At 54.8% G+C, this 16,656-nt stretch overlaps 2 protein-coding genes across 29 annotated transcripts in view, besides 4 other annotated features; both read right to left on the reverse strand.

Annotated features, from left to right (window-relative positions):
- Positions 1,098 to 10,191, reverse strand: SYT5 (synaptotagmin 5). 7 transcript variants are annotated; one of them, XM_047439257.1, is made up of 9 exons: positions 10,019 to 10,191; positions 8,865 to 8,967; positions 8,098 to 8,270; positions 5,907 to 6,026; positions 5,611 to 5,778; positions 5,074 to 5,241; positions 4,784 to 4,898; positions 4,419 to 4,552; positions 1,098 to 3,586 (listed from the first exon to the last, which is right to left on the reverse strand). In XM_047439257.1, the coding sequence occupies exons 2-9, from the start codon at positions 8,941 to 8,943 to the stop codon at positions 3,386 to 3,388; spliced, it is 1,158 nt and encodes a 385-aa protein (XP_047295213.1). In that variant the 5' UTR covers positions 8,944 to 8,967; positions 10,019 to 10,191; the 3' UTR covers positions 1,098 to 3,385. The 7 variants fall into 7 exon arrangements, with proteins under 7 accessions (XP_047295213.1, XP_016882664.1, NP_003171.2 ...); XM_017027175.2 differs by having other exon boundaries at positions 4,784 to 4,901; NM_003180.3 differs by having other exon boundaries at positions 4,784 to 4,901; positions 8,865 to 8,988.
- Positions 9,657 to 9,736: an enhancer, noted in NCBI's record as "active region_15078". NCBI's record gives its function as "activates an Ori minimal core promoter by ATAC-STARR-seq in GM12878 lymphoblastoid cells {active_cell/tissue: GM12878}" and the evidence as "EXISTENCE:reporter gene assay evidence [ECO:0000049][PMID:35858748]".
- Positions 9,724 to 10,136: a silencer, noted in NCBI's record as "fragment chr19:55691190-55691602 (GRCh37/hg19 assembly coordinates)". NCBI's record gives its function as "represses an EF-1alpha promoter that drives an FKBP-Casp9 reporter gene in an ReSE screen in HepG2 liver carcinoma cells and K562 erythroleukemia cells {active_cell/tissue: HepG2 | K562}" and the evidence as "EXISTENCE:reporter gene assay evidence [ECO:0000049][PMID:32094911]".
- Positions 9,724 to 10,206: a biological region, named in NCBI's record as "ReSE screen-validated silencer GRCh37_chr19:55691190-55691602".
- Positions 10,017 to 10,206: a silencer, noted in NCBI's record as "silent region_11017". NCBI's record gives its function as "represses an Ori minimal core promoter by ATAC-STARR-seq in GM12878 lymphoblastoid cells {active_cell/tissue: GM12878}" and the evidence as "EXISTENCE:reporter gene assay evidence [ECO:0000049][PMID:35858748]".
- Positions 11,149 to 16,656, reverse strand: part of PTPRH (protein tyrosine phosphatase receptor type H) — a 28,255-nt gene continuing 22,747 nt past the window's right edge. For 16 of the 22 annotated variants that reach the window (NM_001161440.3, XM_047439148.1, NM_002842.5 and 13 more), the window contains 6 exons: positions 16,366 to 16,442; positions 16,127 to 16,261; positions 15,764 to 15,886; positions 15,404 to 15,564; positions 11,918 to 12,053; positions 11,149 to 11,805 (listed from right to left, as the gene is read on the reverse strand). In NM_001161440.3, coding sequence (NP_001154912.2) covers positions 11,656 to 11,805; positions 11,918 to 12,053; positions 15,404 to 15,564; positions 15,764 to 15,886; positions 16,127 to 16,261; positions 16,366 to 16,442 — 782 coding nt within the window. In that variant the 3' untranslated portion in view covers positions 11,149 to 11,655. Of the gene's footprint in view, positions 11,806 to 11,917; positions 12,054 to 15,403; positions 15,591 to 15,763; positions 15,887 to 16,126; positions 16,262 to 16,365; positions 16,443 to 16,656 lie in introns of those variants that run through there. The other 6 variants (XM_047439150.1, XM_047439149.1, XM_047439146.1 and 3 more) reach the window with 2 other exon arrangements.

The raw sequence follows: 16,656 nt of genomic DNA on the forward strand, positions 1-16,656 counted from the left end.
AATAGAGAGGTTATCCAGGCTGGTGTCTAACCCTGGGCCCCAAGCAATCCTCCTGCCTCCCAAAGTGCTAGGATTAAGGCATGAGCCATCGTGCTTGGCCTTGTTTTCTTTTTAAATTGGTGTAAAACACACACACTATTAAGTTGATTGGGAATGACATTTAGTACACTTGCAATGCTGTGCAACCATCACCACTGTCTAATTCCAGAACTTTCTCATCACTCCAAAAGAAAACACGTACCCCATTTATCTCCCCATTTCTCTCTCCTCTGTCCCTGGCAACCACGAATCTACTTTCTGTCTCTATGTATTTGTCAGTGCAGGAGATTTCTTTTGGATGGAATACTGCACTATGCAGCCTTCTGTATCCGGCTTCCTTCACTTGGCATAATATTTTCAGGACTCATCTATGCTGAAGCATGAATCAATGCTTTCTTCTGTTTTTATGACCAAATAATATTCCACTGTTGTTCTCCCTAACCTTTGCAAGCTTCGTTCCTTCTTGTCATTCAAGTCATGGCCCAGACCGCACCTCCTCAGCAAGGCTGCCCCTGACCACCCTCCCTAAGTTATGTCAGCCTTTTTACGTTTTGGTCCCAGTGTGGACGGCCATTTGTAATGGTTTTATTCTTCTATCGCTCTGCTTTCTTGTTGAGACAGAGACCCAAGGACCCCATTGCCATCATCTAAATCAATCCCAGGATTTAGAGACAGGCTCTCTGGCTGTGTGATTCTGAGCATTTCACAGGAATTCTCTCTCTCTCTCTCTCTCTCTTTTTTTAGATGGAGTTTTGCTCTTGTTGTCCAGGCTGGAGTGCAATGGCGCGATCTCGACTCACTGCAACCTCCACCTCCTGGGTTCAAGCGAGTCTCCTGCCTCAGCCTCCCTAGTAGCTGGGATTACAGGTGCTTGCCACGACACCCAGTTAATTTTTGTATTTTTAGTAGAGACAGGGTTTCAGCATGTTGGCCCAGCTGGTCTTGAATTCCTGACCATAGGTGATCCGCCCACCTCAGCCTCCCAAAGTGCTGGGATTACAGGCGTGAGCCACTACGCCCAGCCCCAAATTTTCTAAAGCACAGTTTGGACTCATTTGTCAACTGGGAATAATGATCATGTTTATTTCATGAGTTTGCTGTGAGGATTATTATTGGCAGTAATAGTAGTAACATAAAGGGCTGTCTTCATAAAGACATGCTCTACAGCCACACACACACACACACACACACACACACACACACACACACTCACACACATGAAAAGTTACTGAATTCCTTTGGAGAAAAATTAAAAATCTCATGGATATTATAATCTGTGTAGCTGTTCTATTTTCACTTTCCCGATTGGCTACCAGGAAGCTTAGGAGCAAGTAAGTTTGTTTGCTGCCTCCTTTTTTGGTACGTGGGGGTAATTTTTGCCTCATTCTCCACTTAATCTGCTGCTCAGAGAGTTCTCTGGCCAAATCTTATAGGTCTTTGTTCACCACCCAAAATTCTGTATGGGATGAGATAAGGTAGAAGCCAATGGAACTATCATCTTTGCTAGAAACAGAGTAGGAGGCAGCATTCGTTGAAAGAACAATGAGGTCAGATGCGGCGGCTCATGTCTACAGTCCCAGCTACTCACACAGGAGGATTGCAGGAGTTTGAAACCAGCCTGTGCAACATAGCAAGACCCCATCTCTAAAAAAGAAAAGAAAAGAAAAGAAAAAATTAGCTAGGCATGGTTGCATGTGCCTGTGGTCCCAGCTACTCAGGAGTCTGAGGCAGGAGGATCCCCTGAGCCCAGGAGGTTGAGGCTGCAGTGAGCTATGATTGCCCCACCGCACTCCAGCCAGGGTACACAGAGAAACCCTGTCAAAAAAAGAAGAAAGAAGAGGCTGAGGCAGAAGAATCGCTTGAACCCGGGAGGCAGGGGTTGCGGTGAGCCGAGATTGCACCATTGCCCTCCATTCTGGGCAACAACAGCGAAACTCCGTCTCAAAATTAAAAAAAAGAAGAAGAGAAGAAAAGAAATAGAAAAGAAAAGAAAAGAAGAAGGGCCGGGCGCGGTGGCTCACGCCTGTAATCCTAGCACATTGGGAGGCCGAGGCGGGCGGATCACGAGGTCAGGAGATCGAGATCATCCTGGCTAACACGGTGAAATGCCGTCTCTACTAAAAATACAAAAAAATTAGCCGGGTGTGGTGGCGGGCGCCTGTAGTCCCAGCTGCTCGGGAGGCTGAGGCAGGAGAATGGCGTGAACCCGGGAGGAGGAGCTTGCAGTGAGCCGAAATCGTGCCACTGCACTCCAGCCTGGGCGACAAAGTGAGACTTCATCTCAAAAAAACAAAAACAAAAACAAAAAAACAAACAAACAAAAAAAAAACAAGAGAAAAAGAAAGAAAAGGAAAGACAGAAAGAAAACAAAAAGGAAAAAAGAAAAGAAAAAAGAAAGAGGTGAAGTTGAAATCATTGGCTTTCCTTGCTGAACTCCAACCTCTCTCGCAGGCTCTGGAGATTGTATTCCCTGGCTCCGCGCCTCTCCTTTGTTTTGATGGCAGTAAGTCGCTTGGGGGGTCAGGTCTGTGTTTGGATATTCTGGGGCCCCAGCACTCAACAGAAGACCTCAGGGAATATGGAATGGAAGGAAGAAAAAAAAGAGAGGGAGGGAGGGATGCAGAAATGGGTATGAAAATCGATGTGAGTCATGGGTGAGCAAGCGAGTGGATAAATTCATGGACAAGCAAGGGAGTTCTCGCGGACTCCTCACAGCCAGCGTGTGGCAGGAATTATTATTATCCCAACATTCTCCAGAGGAGGAAACCCAGGCTCAGAGTGGTGAGTGAGGAATGAACGGGTGAGAGTGTGAGGGAGTCCATGGGGTCAGGCCAGTCTCTCAGAGGCTTTCAGGACGAACAGCACTCACACCGCCCTGCGAGCGCCCATTCCTGGAAACGAGGTTTCCTCTTGGGTCCCAGCCCTTGCCCACCCCCATCAAGGAGCATGGGCCCAGGCCACCGGAGCTGCTGAATATTTATTTGGCCCCAGGAGCAGTGCAGGGATGGGCTGTGTTGGAAGAGAGAGGAGAGCAGACGAGGATGGCTGATTGTCAAAGCAGGGGGCAGGACCCGGGGGCAGGAGAAACCAGGCTGCCTTCCCTTCCCGGGGTCCCTGGGGCATCTGGGTGTGTCCGCGAGGGTCGGGGGAGTGTGCTGGAAAGTTGTCGTGATTGGCATCGTTGGGGGTGAGAAGACAGGAATGGTTCAGATGGTTGGGGTGGAAGGTGGGGGGAGGGTAACCGTCAGAGGAAGCTTAAGGGTGGGGCTGGCTTGGCTTTGGCCGGTCTCGGGAGTCTGGGGTCAGGGGCTAGAGTCCAGGCTTGGCCGGGGGCTTGGGGTGGGAGTCAGGGCGCAGGCAGCAGCCTCACTCGGTCCGGGGGCCGCAGCGAGTGCCACTGGGCAATGGGCCGCCGCGGGTTGGCCAGCATGTCCGCCCAGTGCCGCAGGCCAGCCCCGCCGGCGGCCGCCCCCACGGCCACCCTCCCGATGGCCTCGTTCTTGCCCAGCTTGTCGTAGTCCAGCACGGTCAGCTCCACCTGCACCTTCTGGGGTGGGCGCGGGAGGAAGAGGAGAGAGGAGCGTGAGGGGAGGAGGCCCCGGAAGGGGCGGTGTCCGTTTTCACGGCTGAGGGTACCTCTCGCTGCCACCCGAGGGCTCGGGGCCCCGGAGCTCGGGACGGGGGAGGGGGTGGGAGACGAGAGGGACGGAGCCTGCGGCGAGGAGGAGGCTCTGGCGCCTTTCTTCCTGCGCAGCCAGGTTTCTAAGGAAATGAACCCTCAGGACTCGGTTGCGGAGCGGGTGTGTTCGGCGCCTCCTGGGGGAGCAGCCTCCTAAGAGCCGCAAAGCTGCAGAACTTTAACAGGGGCCGGGCTAGGGTAGGCGCCGTCCCTAAAGAAGTGAGGGGAGGTCTCTTTTTCTTAGAACCACGTTCCTGAGGAGGGCGGGGCATCCTGGTCCTGCTTAGGGTGGGGAATCTGGTCCCGCTTAGGAGTGGGGCATCCTGGTCCCGCTTGGGGGCGGGGCATCCTGGTCCTGCTTGGGGGCGGGGCATCCTGGTCCTGCTTGGGGGCGGAGCATCCTGGTTCCGCTTGGTGGGGCGGGGCATACTGATCCTGCTTAGGGTGGAGCATCTGGTACTGCTTAGGGGTGGGACATCCCGGTCCCGCTTAGAGCAGATAGGACACCCACACCCAATTTTAAGGAGTCTCTTCCTGGAGTGGAAGAGGCTTCCTGGTCCTCATAGGAGGAAACAGACTGAGAGCATAACCTCAGACCCCCTCACCTGGTTTCTAGGGAGATGCTAAAAAGTCTCCCTCCGCCTAGCAATGGCGATTACTAAAGGTCTGGGCTCTTGGAGAAGGGCAGGTTTGAGCTCACCTGGACTTGGTCACAGGGCACCTCGAAGCTGAAAGCTTCGTTGTAATAGGGGTTCAGAGTGTTCTTCTTGATGGTGGTTTTCTTCTTCCGCACCTTTTTGCCGCCCTGCAGCAGGTGGACCTTGACGTATGGATCTGGGGAGAGGAAGGAGGAGTCTTATAGCTCCCCACTGCTGGGTTGTTGGACCAACATAGAAACACTGCCTACACCCTTCGGGTCTCCCTAGCTCTATGCCAAAATCCATGCCTTCCACAGCAGCCAGGTCCTCCCTGTCCCCGAAGAAACCCTCGAGGCTCAGAAACTGTCAGAACGAGAACCCACCCCACGCCATCCCCACACACCCCACTCCCTTGCTTCCCACACACCTGACAGTCCTCCTACGTCCATCTTCTTCAGGTTTTTAGCCTCCAGGACGATGACGGTGAGCTTCCCGGCCGTGGGGACATAGCGGAGGGAGAAGCAGATGTCCCCAAGCTTCTCCTGCTGAAAGGAGAGGGGCCCATCACCAGAGCCCCGGCTCCACATCCATGCCTCCTCAGGGGTACAATCCACGCCGCCCTGAGGGTCTGGAAAGCCTATGATCTGATTGGCTCAGGATGTTGTGGGCGGGACTGGGCCTGGGGGCGTGGCTCGGGGCGCGACCGCGCATGCTCACCTCCTCCCGCGGAGCCGCCTGCAGCTCCCGCCAGGCCTGCACTGGCCGCCCCAGGTCCACGGAGCTCATAGGGACCCGCACCTCCCCGATGGCGTCATTGCGAGAGAAGCGGTCGAAGTCGTACACCGCCATGACCAGCACCCTGCCCCCCAGCTCCACGTAGGGGACCTGGAGTGCACAGAGAATCCGCAGTAGAGAGCAGGAAGTCAGAGATAGGGTGAGGCACAGCACAACCAGAAGGAAGGCATGGAGTGAGGCAGCGAGGGTCGAAGCGAACAGTTGGGGGAACTCAAATGGGAAAGTCCAGGGATCCATGCGGAAAAAAATCACGGGTCAGTGGAACCCAAATCGTACCGCCCAAGGACCAGGCTACAGCCCAGGAGTCAGTAGTGCCCAGGGTCCAGTGGAATAGCCCCAGAGCTGGTAGCTGCCACCTGAGCTGTGGCCGCCTCCAGGAAAAGCGGAAGGGGTCGGTCCCTAGTGTTCCAGGGACTGGGCACAGGCTATGGAACACGGGGCCTGAAGGCAGGAGCTCACCTTGAAGGCGAAGGTCTCCCCAAAGTGAGGGTTCAGCGTCTGCCGATGCACCTTGGTCTCGTACCGCCTCCGTTTGTCCGGCAGCAGGTAGACCCGCACATAGGGGTCCGAGGAGCCACCAAGATCCAAGGCTGCCAATCCCATTGCTTGCAGAATGCCCACCAGCAGCTGCAGGGCCCAGGCACAGTGGGGGAGGTGGGGAACACTAGTCTTAGCCTCCCTTCCATGGCTCCTTTCAGAAGGGGTTGGAACCCCCGGGATCCTCCCTCCAAAGCTTCCCCTTCCTCCACACCCACCTGGCCACTCTGGAAGTCATAATCCAGGGAGTACTGCAGTCGTCCTAGCTCATGCTTGTCTGCCACCTGCTGCCCTGGCCCGGATGGTGCTGGCTCCAGCTCCTCTACTTCTGGCTGCACCTTAAGGAGCCAGGGGTAAGGGTGGGTGAAGTCTTCCCCTGATAGCAGTATCCATCAGGCTCAGAAGCCAAGGGAGGCTCACAGGTCCCTTGGGCTATACCTGAGCTCTCACAGGCTAAGCAGATTCAGTATTTGACTAGTGCTGTCTGCCACAGGCAGGAAATAGACGTGGTAACACAGATGCAGTATGTTTGTGAAGGTTTGATTAGTGGTGTCTGCTATGGGCAGGAACTAGACATGTGCTTGTCATGCTTAGATTAAAACAAGTGCTGATAGTGTCCCATTGCCCACAGGAATAATGCAGGTTTTATTTCACATGCTAATGGATGTACTGGGGTGCTAGTCCAAACTGCCATGTTTACTTGTGATCTTAGCACAGCAAAACATGGAGGAGAAATGGCATATTTACTGTGTACTTGCCATTCTAAAGTTGAATGAAAAAGCAGAAGGTGTCTCCTTAACCTAGGCCAGCAATTCTTAAAATTCAATGTGAACCTGAATTCCCCTGAATCCTGTGGCAAAATGTCTGAGGTCACCTCTTCAGGGATTCTGACTTGATAGGTCAGGTGCTAGTGCCAGAATTTGCATTTCAACAAGTACCCAGTGTGATTCTGCTGCAGACGGTCTTTGAACATCACTGGTTTAAGGGACAGGGATGGGGCTGGACACCAGGACCCTAAATAGCATCCTTTACGGATGCTAATTGAACAGCTCCTTATTGAGAAGGAAGGAGGGGAAATACCAAGTTAGTGACCACAGACTTGAGGCTCAGAGAGGGACAGTGAGTTCTCCAAGGTCACACAACCAGGAAATGGTCCTTCTTGGTTGGAAACCTAGGGCTGTCTGGCTCCCAGGCAACCACTGCACTCTGCACTGAGAGACTTAATTTTCAGACCCTGCAGTGACCACTTTCCATTCCAACGGCCTCATCCAATGCAAATGTCTTTTATCCTCTCCAGGCTGCTGCTGCACTGGCCTCGTCCCTGGATCCCTCGCCGCAGATCTGTCCTACACAGGGTTCCAGAGGAGTCATCCTAACACCATCTGACCCTGTCCCTCTCATGCTCAAAACATATTTGTAGCCTTCATCACCTTCATGACATGGATACTGCTGAGTTCTCCAGACACTTCACTCCAGAGTGCAGCTATTGTGAGAAATGACTCTTTGTTCCCCAAATAAGCCTCAGAATCTGGATATGGGGCCTGAATCTGGATATGGGGCCTCAACACATGCTCCAACTTGGACTAGAATGTCCTTCTCTCTGGTCTCAGTTAACTCTGTCCCTCAGGTCTCAGTGCAGAAGTCACCTCCACCACGAAGCCTCCTCTGTCTGACCCTCTGTTTTAAACTTTTTCCTACTGTAAATATGTCCCATTTTCTGAAAAAAATCAGCATATTTTAAAGTATTCTGGCACAAAGCTGGTTTTCAGCTTTCAGAGCCATTTATTTATTTATCTATTTATTGGAGACAGAGTCTCGCTCTGTCACCCAGGCTGGAGTGCAGTGGCGCGATCACAGCTCACTGCAGCCTCCACCTCCCGGTTTCAGTGCCTCAGCCTCTCGAGTAGCTGGGATTATACCACACCACCATGGCTGGCTTTTGTATTTTTAGTAGAGACAGGGTTTCATCATGTTGCCCAGGCTAGTCTTGAATTCATGACCTCAGGCAATCTGTCCACCTCAGCCTCCCAAGTGCTAGGATTACAGGCGTGAGCCACCGCACCCGGCCCAGAGCCAAATATTTATATGTTTCTGTAGGTTTCTATACAGTGGGATGCCTTTTCTGTGCTCCTATGAGACCCTGTAGTATGGCACATATTACCCTGTGTGGTGAGTGTCTGTGTCAGTGCCTGACTCTCCCACCAGACTGGGAAGTTCTTGGGAATAGCAACTAGTTCTGTTCCATCTCTGGGTCCCCAGAGTCCAGTTGAGGGCTAGACACACAGGGAGGATGAGCCAGTAAGGTGGGTTCCTATAGGACAGAAGGGAGCAGGGACTGGGACCAGCTGGGCCATTGAGAGGAGCAGGGTGCGGGAAGGGGCCAGGTGGAGGGGCTGGGCTGGGCCACACCTTGTCTATGTAACTCTGGCCCAGCCCCTTCACTTCCTGAAGGTGGACCTGGGCTTGGGCCTGGCTCTTCTTGCCTGTCCGCCTCCGACAGCTCTTCCGGTAGAGACAGAAACAGCAGCTGAAGATGAGGAGGCCTGAGACCAGCACGATGGTGGCCAGGGCCCAGGGGGGCACTGCAGAGGGGTGGAGACAACACACATTGAGGCCTGGGCAGCACGCAGGCTGATTCAGTCCTGATTACACGTGGAAGCTGGAATGCTGGCCTCCTTTTCCCTCCAGCCATTTTCATTGCATTTCTTCCTGTGTTTTTCTTCCACCTAATGTGGCCTATAGAGAGATTCGATGCCCCAACCCAGGCTGACACCATCTGGATTTGCTTGCTTGTTAGTTCTGCCTTTCCTTACCCGACCCCGCCCCCCATTTCTGCTCAACTCCTGATGCTTTTACAAGAAGCCCTGCTCCTCATCGGGCCTGTTTCCTTATCTGTAAAAGAAGAGCTAGGTGGACCTTCCAATTCTAAGATCCCATTCCATGCAACACCCCTTGATCCGGTTTCGATTTTTTTTTTTTTTTTTTTTTTTTTTTTTTTGCAAATCTGTTCCTTCCTTTTACCCCATTTCGTTCGCATTCCAGTCCAGGATGACGACCCGGGATCCCAGCCGGATTTTCCAGCCCGCCTGCCCGAGTACACCCGTCCGAATCCCGCCCCTCGGAATCCTGGCCAGGCTTTCTCTCTGCTCGGCCCCCCACCCCCGGGTCTTGCTCACCTGGGCCGTGGCTGATGCGACTGGAGTCGGGAGGCGTGTCGGGCGATGGAGGCCCCGGGGTTGGGGGCTCCGGGAACATGGTGGCGGGGTCCTGGAGTCTTTTCTGCAGAGACACTCAAGCACCCTAGTCCCCCATTCCCACCCCAGACGTCCTTTGAGCCCCACGCACAACAAAGAACTCCAACTCCCATGAGGCCTTTGCGCGAACAGCCGCGCAGAAACCGGACAGCCACCGCGAGTCATGCTGGGAGTTGTAGTATCAGCCTCCCCGCACTTGAGAGGGGGTGTCCAGGACCTAGTTCCATCCTAAAGGGATACCCTCTTCCTCCACGGCCCCACAGGCATCCCGCTGACTTCTGCCTCGTCCTCGCCCCTCCGCAGGGTCTGAACCGGAAGCGGGCGAAGGCAGACGTGGGAACCAGCAGACCGCGTTGCCCAGAGCAACAGCCGGGCTCCTCTCAAGCGGGGTGAGAGCAAAGCTGGTTGCCCGGGCAACGGGTTGTTGCCAGGACAACGGGCGGGGCTGACGCACAGACGCGGAGTCCCGGCGGGGCAGGCTCGCTCCGGGGCCCACCGGTGCCTGGGAACCCCCCAATAGCCCGACTGGGATCCTGAGGTCCCGCGAGGTGGGGAGCGGGCAGCCTGTGGTCCGAGCGCCCACAGCCGACTGCTCCCTCCGCACCTGGTCCTGGGAGCTGAGACGCAGGTTCCCTCTTCCCTCTCCCCAATTTTGCTGGAGGGCGGGTCGGGGGCTGCCCGGTGCCTGTGCTGAGCCCCCTCATCCTTCTTGGCCTGTTGGTCTCTCCACGCATCCGTGCTGCTCTCGTGACCGCCTCGGTCTCCACGCTGCCTCTTGACCCCACATAGGCGTCTTCCCTGTGTCTGCCTCCCCAACCCGCCTGTCTCTCTTCCCTATCGCCTGGCCTCTGTCTCCAGGGTCTCTCCCTCTCCCCTCCGCCTGCGCCCCACTCCCCGCCCTCGGCTCTTTGTCTTCTCCATACCTGTCTCGCGTCCCCAGATCCCTGTCTCTCCGCTTCAGGCTGCTGCCCTCCCTCTGGTTGTCTCCCCAGTGCCCCAGCCCCCACTCGCACACCCCTTTCCTCTAGGGATGCGGATGCGGATGGGCTGAGGGCGGGGGTCCCAGCAGCTCCTACCTGCTCGGCGGCTGGACGGGACACTCCCGGGAGACGCCGAGGCGCCAGCCCCGCCCGGACCCCACCCCCTGCACGTGGGCGGTGGCGCTGTCCCGGGTGCTGATCGCGGAGCTCTCCGGGGCGGGGGAGCCGCGGAGCGGAGCAGGATCCCGTGCGCGCGTGTGTGCCCGTGTGCGTGTGCGCGCGTGTGTGGTGTGTATTGTGTGTGCCCGTATTTGGTCTCGGGTAGGCGGAAAGCCCTGCCCCGCCCCTCCTCCCGCCTCCACCCGGGAACCTCGATGACGCCCACAGATGTTTATCCTGGTGCTTTAGCATTTTCTGCCTTCTGGTCCAGTCGTTGGCCGTCCAGACCACTCCACTCCTCCCGCCCCAACACACACGACACACACCCTGTATAGCCCAAAGAACGGCATGCCAGGATACTCAGTCCTAGGACCTAGGAGACCCCAGACCCCCATTGGAGACCCAGACTCTGCAGGGTTCAGCATCAAAGTCCCCAGCTATCAGCCCCCAGACATCGCCCTCTAAGTTCCCCTAACACCAGTCCCAGGAGGCGGCCAGTGCGGTGGCTCATACCTGTAACCTCAGCACTTTGGGAGGCCGAAGCAGGAGGAATGCTTGAGCCCAGGAGCTGGAGACCAGCCTGGGCAACATAGCAAAATCCCGTCTCTACAAAAATGAGCCAGCGTGGTGGTGCGCACTTGTGATGGCAGCTACTCTAGAGGCTGAGGTGGGAAGATCACCTGGGCCCAGGAGGTCAAGGCTGCAGTGAGCCACTGCACTCCAGTCTGGGCAACAGAGCAAGACCATGTCTCAAAAACAAAAACAAAAACAGAACAAAACAACAACAACAACAACAGAGAAGAGTAAAAGAAAAGCTCAGAAGGCAAGTCCCCAAGCACCTAGCTCCAGCGAGCCCTGTCCATACTGCCCAGACCCTGGACACAGACGTCTGGACACTGCCTTCTCTGAGAGACTCAACCACCCAAACCTACATTTTTTCATGTGCAAATGTGTGGGTCCCTCTAGTCCCCTCCTGGACGTTCGCCTCGATCCCTAGATACCAGGAACCCATCCCTACTCCCAATCCAATATTATTTCCAGACCCAGAAATCCATGGGACAACTGTCTCTGGGGAGAACAGTGATTTAATAAATTATGGGATAGAAGGAAAAATACATGTGGATGGTGGGGTGCAGAGAGACCTTGGGCACAGGGACTCCCTCCGACCCCAGATTATAGAAGACTGATTTGGTTTCTGAAGTAAAATCAAGGCAGGATCCTTCCTGCCTTTGGTCCTCAAGTAGCCAGAACTCCAGACCCAAATTCCTTCCTGCCTCAGAATCCAGGCCCCAGCCTGTTTCTTTCTGCATCCTGGAAAGACCTAGGGAATCCAAGCTATCATCCCTCTCCTCCTTCAGGGAACCAGGAATCCAGATCCCCAGCTCCCATAGGACTCATCTGAAGCCCACCAGACCACTCTCTCCTGGGGAAACCAGAGTTTGGGATACCAGCCCCCTCCTCCCACAGCACCCAGGAGTCTGGGAGCCCAGCCCTCTGCTCTTCCAGGAATCTGGGCTCAAGTGGGTGTCCAGAGCTTGAGGATGCCTGGGCTGCCGACCCAGCCCCCTCGTCACTTAGACCTCCAACTTGTGGGCCTGGATGGCGGCCACGTTCTCGTAGATGAGGTTTTCGACATCCTCATACGGGACTTCCTTCTCGGCTGGGGCCTGGGCTGACTGTTGGAGGAACCGCAGGATGCACTGATGCAGGAATACGTACTGAGCCTGGGAAGCAGGCACGGGAGTGAGAGGCGTCCCCCCAGGTCTGAGCTGCGTGGAGCCCCAGGGTCCCTCGTCCCACTGCCTCCCGTCCTGTGTTGCTGAGGGACTGCCTCACCTCAGTCTGCACCATCAACGGCCGACTCTCTCTCATCTTCCTTACAAAGCTGAAGGGCCCAAGGAGACCCTCGGACTGCAGCTGCCGGAGCAGGACGTCCAGGGCAATGAGGGTTCCTGTGCGACCCACGCCAGCACTAGGCAGAACAAGGGAAGGGTCAGACCAAGGGGCAGGAGTGTGAGGGTCCGGGGTCATGGCTGATTGGAGGGATCTGTGTTTGAATGATGACAATAACTATGCCTGCTCACACCTGTAATCCCAGCACTTTGGGAGGCTGAGGCCGGTGGATCACCCAAGGTCAGGAGTTCCAGACCAGCCTGGCCAACCTGGCAAAACCGTCTCTTCTAAAAATGCAAAAATTAGCCGGGTATGGTGGCGCATGCCTGTAATCCCAGCTACTTGGGAGGCTGAGGCGAAGAATCGCTTGAACCCAGGAGGTGGAGGTTGCAGTGAGCCAAGATCACACCACTGCACTCCAGCCTGGGCGACAAGAGCAAAACTCCCATCTCAAAAACAACAACAACAACAACAACAAAACTGCCTGGAGTTCCTTCCATCTGTTAGGCTCTGTTCTAAGTGCCTGATGGGCCTTCTTCACTCCTCCCAAACCTAAGAAGTCGGATGTACTAGCTCCATTGTACAAATGGGGAAATGGAGGCTGAGTGAGGTGAAGTCCCATTCCCCAGGCCACTCAGCTAATAAGTGGCAGAGCCGGGGTTCAAATACAGGAAGAGGAACTCTCCAGCCAATCATTTAGTAATTCCTTTAAACACAAAAATTAGTCTTTTGTTTTGTTTGAGACAGGATCTCTCTCTGTCACGAAGGCTGAAGTGCAGTGGCATGATCTCGGCTCACTGCACCCTTGACCTCCTGGGCTCAAGTGATCCTCCTGTCTCAGCCTCCTGAGTAGCTTGGATCACAGGCATGCACCACTGCATCTGACTAACTTATTAACTTTTTAATAGAGACGGGGTCTTGCCATGTTGCCCAGGCTGGTCTCAAACTCCTGGACTCAAGTGATCCTCCCACCTCAGCCCCCCAAAGTGCTGGGATTACAGGCATGAGCTACTGTGCCCAGTGAAAAAATTAGCTATTTTAGGCTGGGCACAGTGGCTCACGCCTGTAATCCCAGCACTTTGGGAGGCTGAGGTGGGTGGATCACGAGGTCAGGAGATTGAGACCATCCTGGCCAATATGGTGAAACCCCGTCTCTACTAAAGTACCAAAAAAAAAAAAAAATTACCCGGGTGTGGTGGCGGGCGCCTGTAGTCCCAGCTACTCGAGAGGCTGAGGCAAGGGAATCACTTGAACCCGGGAGGCGGAGATTGCAGTGAGCCGAGATCACATCACTGCACTCCCAGCCTGGGCGACAGAGCAAGATTCCGTCCCCCACAAAAATAAATAAATAAATAAATTAGCTATTTTAAGCTGGGCGCACTGGCTCACGCCTGTAATCCCAGCACTTTGGGAGGCTGAAGCAGGCGGATCACCGGAGGTCAGGCGTTGGAGACCAGCCTGGCCAACATGAAGAAACCTCATCTCCACTAAAAATACCAAAATTAGCCAGGCGGGGTGGCAGGCACCTGTATTCCCAGCTACTCAAGAGGCTGAGGCAGGAGAATTGCTTGAACTTGGGAGGTGGAGGTTGCAGTGAGCGGAGATCGCACCGTTGCACTCCAGCCTGGGTGACATAGCGAGACTCTGTCTCCACAAAAAAAAATAGCTATTTGAACGTGAGCAATTTGTCACACTCACAACGCTGTGCAGCCCCCACCTCTATCTACTTGCAAAACACTTTCATCACCCCTAAAGCAGACACCACGCCCATTAGGCCGTCTCTCCCTATTGCCTGTCACCCTCCAGGGCCTGGAAGCTACTAATCTCTTCAGTGTCTCTGTTGCTTTGGCTGATCTAGATATGCTTCTGGATATGCACACTAATGGAATGATGTGATGACATCCACTCAGCTCTAAAATGGGGAGGACATTGCCGGGCACAGTGGTTCACGCCTGTAATCCCAGCACTTTGGGAGGCCGAGGTGGTCGGATCACTTGAGGTTGGGAGTTTGAGACCAGCCTGACCAACATGGAGAAACCCCGTGTCTACTAAAAATACAAAATTAGCCGGGCGTGGTGGCACATGCCTGTAATCCCAGCTACTCAGGAGGCTGAGGCAGGAGAATTGCTTGAACCCAGGAGGCAGAGGTTGCAGTGAGCCGAGATCATGCCACTGCACTCCAGCCTGGGCAACAAGAGCGAAACTCTGCCTCCAAAATAAACAAACAAATAAATAAATAAAATAAAATAAAATAAAATGGGGAGGACACCCTTTTGCCATGAGACTGTCATGAGGAGCAGTAGAACTGTGTAAATGTTCACTGTGACTGAAACCAGAGCCCCAGTCTCAGGGGCTGTTACTCTTCCTCATCTCCCTAATAGTTACCGTTAGGTGAAATCTGACCTACGGGACTTCAGCATAAATATCAGGAAAGGGTCAGGTGCGGTGGCTCACGCCTGTCATCTCAGCACTTTGGGAGGCAGAGGCAGACGGATCACGAGGTCAGGAGTTCGAGACCAGCCTGGCCAACATGGTGAAACCCCATCTCTACTAAAAATACAAAAATTAGCTGGGTGTGGTGGTGAGCAGCTGTAATCCCAGCTACTCGGGAGGCTGAGACAGGAGAATTGCTTGAACTCGGGAGGCAGAGGTTGCAGTGAGCTGAGATTGCGCCATTGCACTCCACCCTGGGCGACAGGGAGAGACTCCATCTCAAATAAAATAAAATAAAATAATAAAATAAAATAAAATAAATAAAATAAAATAAATATCAGGGAAGCAGTTGATGGGGGAGGCCCTGCACTCCAGCACAGGGAAGTGTCTCCAGTGTTTCTCAGAATCTGTGGCCACATCCCCATCCTGTGGCTTCATCCTTTCTCCCTTCTCTTCTGCATTCAACCTTCTCTGCCTTTACCTTTTCATCTTTCTTTTTTTCCTTTTTTTTTTAATCGAGACAGAGTCACCCAGGCTGGAGTGCAGTGGTGCGACCTCAGCTCACTGCAACCTCTGCCTCCCGGGTTCAAGTGATTCTCCTGCCTCAGCCTCCTGAGTAGCTGGGATTACAGGTGCCCGCCACGACACCCGGCTAATTTTTGTATGTTTAGTAGAGACAAGGTTTGTATGTTGGCCAAGCTGTTCTCAGACTCCTGAACTCAAGTGATCCACCCGCCTTGGCCTCCCAAAGTGCTAGGATTTACAGGCATGAGCCACCGCTCCTGGCCTGCCTTTTCATCTTTCGTTCCCATCTTTTCATCCTTATCCCCTTTCTTTTCTTAATCTGCTTCACGCCCCCCTTTATCTTCCACATCCACCTCCTCCTTCTCTCCCTCTTCACCTCCCCTGTACGTTCCCAGGGTCCCGTCTAACACAACTGTCTGAGCCCCAAGGGAGCGGTTCTCTCAAGGGAGAGGGTCCTGGGCTGGTCCCCACCTGCAGTGCACAATGGGTGGGCCTCCCTCCATGGTCTGATCCAGCCACTGCCGAAGCATCCTCCAGAAAGCCAGCAAGGTGTCTGGGGAGGAGGGAACGCCGTGATCCGGCCAGGCCTGGTAGTGGAATTGGCGCACAGACAGTGTCTTCTGCTCCTCCACCTGGAAGGAGGGAGCACTCACAGGCTCTGGAGATGAATGTAGGGAGGACCTGGCTTCTAGCACCAGGAGCGGGTTCCCTGGGGCACACTGCAGCTCCTCAGAGGAGTGGGTGGAAGGTTGGAGTTGGTGGAGGGTCCTGGATGCATGGCATATGTCACAGGGGAAGGCTGAGGGCCAGGACGGGGCTGGACACACGCACCTGGAGGAGCAGCAGTTCCCGCACCGTCCAGTTCTCCATCACTTCCTCACCTACCAGGGTTACCCGCAGGTGCCCATGGGTGCAGGGCTGCGAGTCCAGAGGCCAGTAATGCTCACACTTCACCTGGGGGAGGAGGAGGGGTCAGAGAACACAACTCCTCTTACCCAGGTCTGTGGGGTCTGCTTTAGGCCCCAAATGTGAACCAGCAGATGGGCTGGGGGGAGAGTGGGGAACAGGTCTACACTGAAGACGCCTGGGGTTACCCTGGAGGAATCCGTAAGGTCTGGGTGTGGGGTCTACATTGGATGAGTGTTCGGGGCGGGGTCCTGCACCCAGTCAGCACCCAGGACTCAGATCTCTCACCCGGCCGGCCTCCATGCAGTTGGTCAGCATGACCAGGGTGTGGCTCTGCTGTTCCCACACCAGGCGCCAGAAGTCACCCACTGTCTGTGGCAGGGGACCCTGGGTTGCAATGAACTCCTGGGGGCTCCAGAGACCCTGGTTGAGGAAGGCAGGCGGGTCAGGGGGGCCTTTAGTTGATCCCCGAGCTCTTATCTCTCCAGGCGTGCTGGGCACCCTTTCAATCCCAACCACGACCTTACGGGCATGAAGCTGGCATTGATGTAGTCAGAGCCTGGCTCCTCATGGATGGGCTTCAGGGGCACCCGGGACCAGTCATCTAGGAGAAGAGGCCAGCATTAGCCAGGCAGAGAGACCCAGAGAGGCACAGAGACAAGACCACAGGCAGAGAGACCCAGAGAGGCACAGAGACAAGACCAAGACCCATGGACAAAAGTCATGCCGAGACGCAGGCAGACCTTGGGAGCTACACAGGGACTGAGAGGGGCGGAGGGACCTCAGCTGCAGGGAGCAGGCCAGGAGGACTCTCAAAG

The sequence above is a fragment of the Homo sapiens genome, chromosome 19 (assembly GCF_000001405.40).
Source record: "Homo sapiens chromosome 19, GRCh38.p14 Primary Assembly".
NCBI classification, from domain to species: domain Eukaryota; kingdom Metazoa; phylum Chordata; class Mammalia; order Primates; family Hominidae; genus Homo; species Homo sapiens.

Coding starts and splice junctions, on each gene's coding strand:
- SYT5 (XM_017027175.2), bottom strand. CDS start 8,943: ATGTTCCCGGAGCCCCCAACCCCGGGGCCTCCATCGCCCGACACGCCT. Junction 8,271..8,864: donor TCGCATCAGCCACGGCCCAG/GTGAGCAAGACC, acceptor ACCCCTCTGCAG/TGCCCCCCTGGGCCCTGGCC. Junction 5,779..5,906: donor ATGACTTCCAGAGTGGCCAG/GTGGGTGTGGAG, acceptor TGGGCCCTGCAG/CTGCTGGTGGGCATTCTGCA.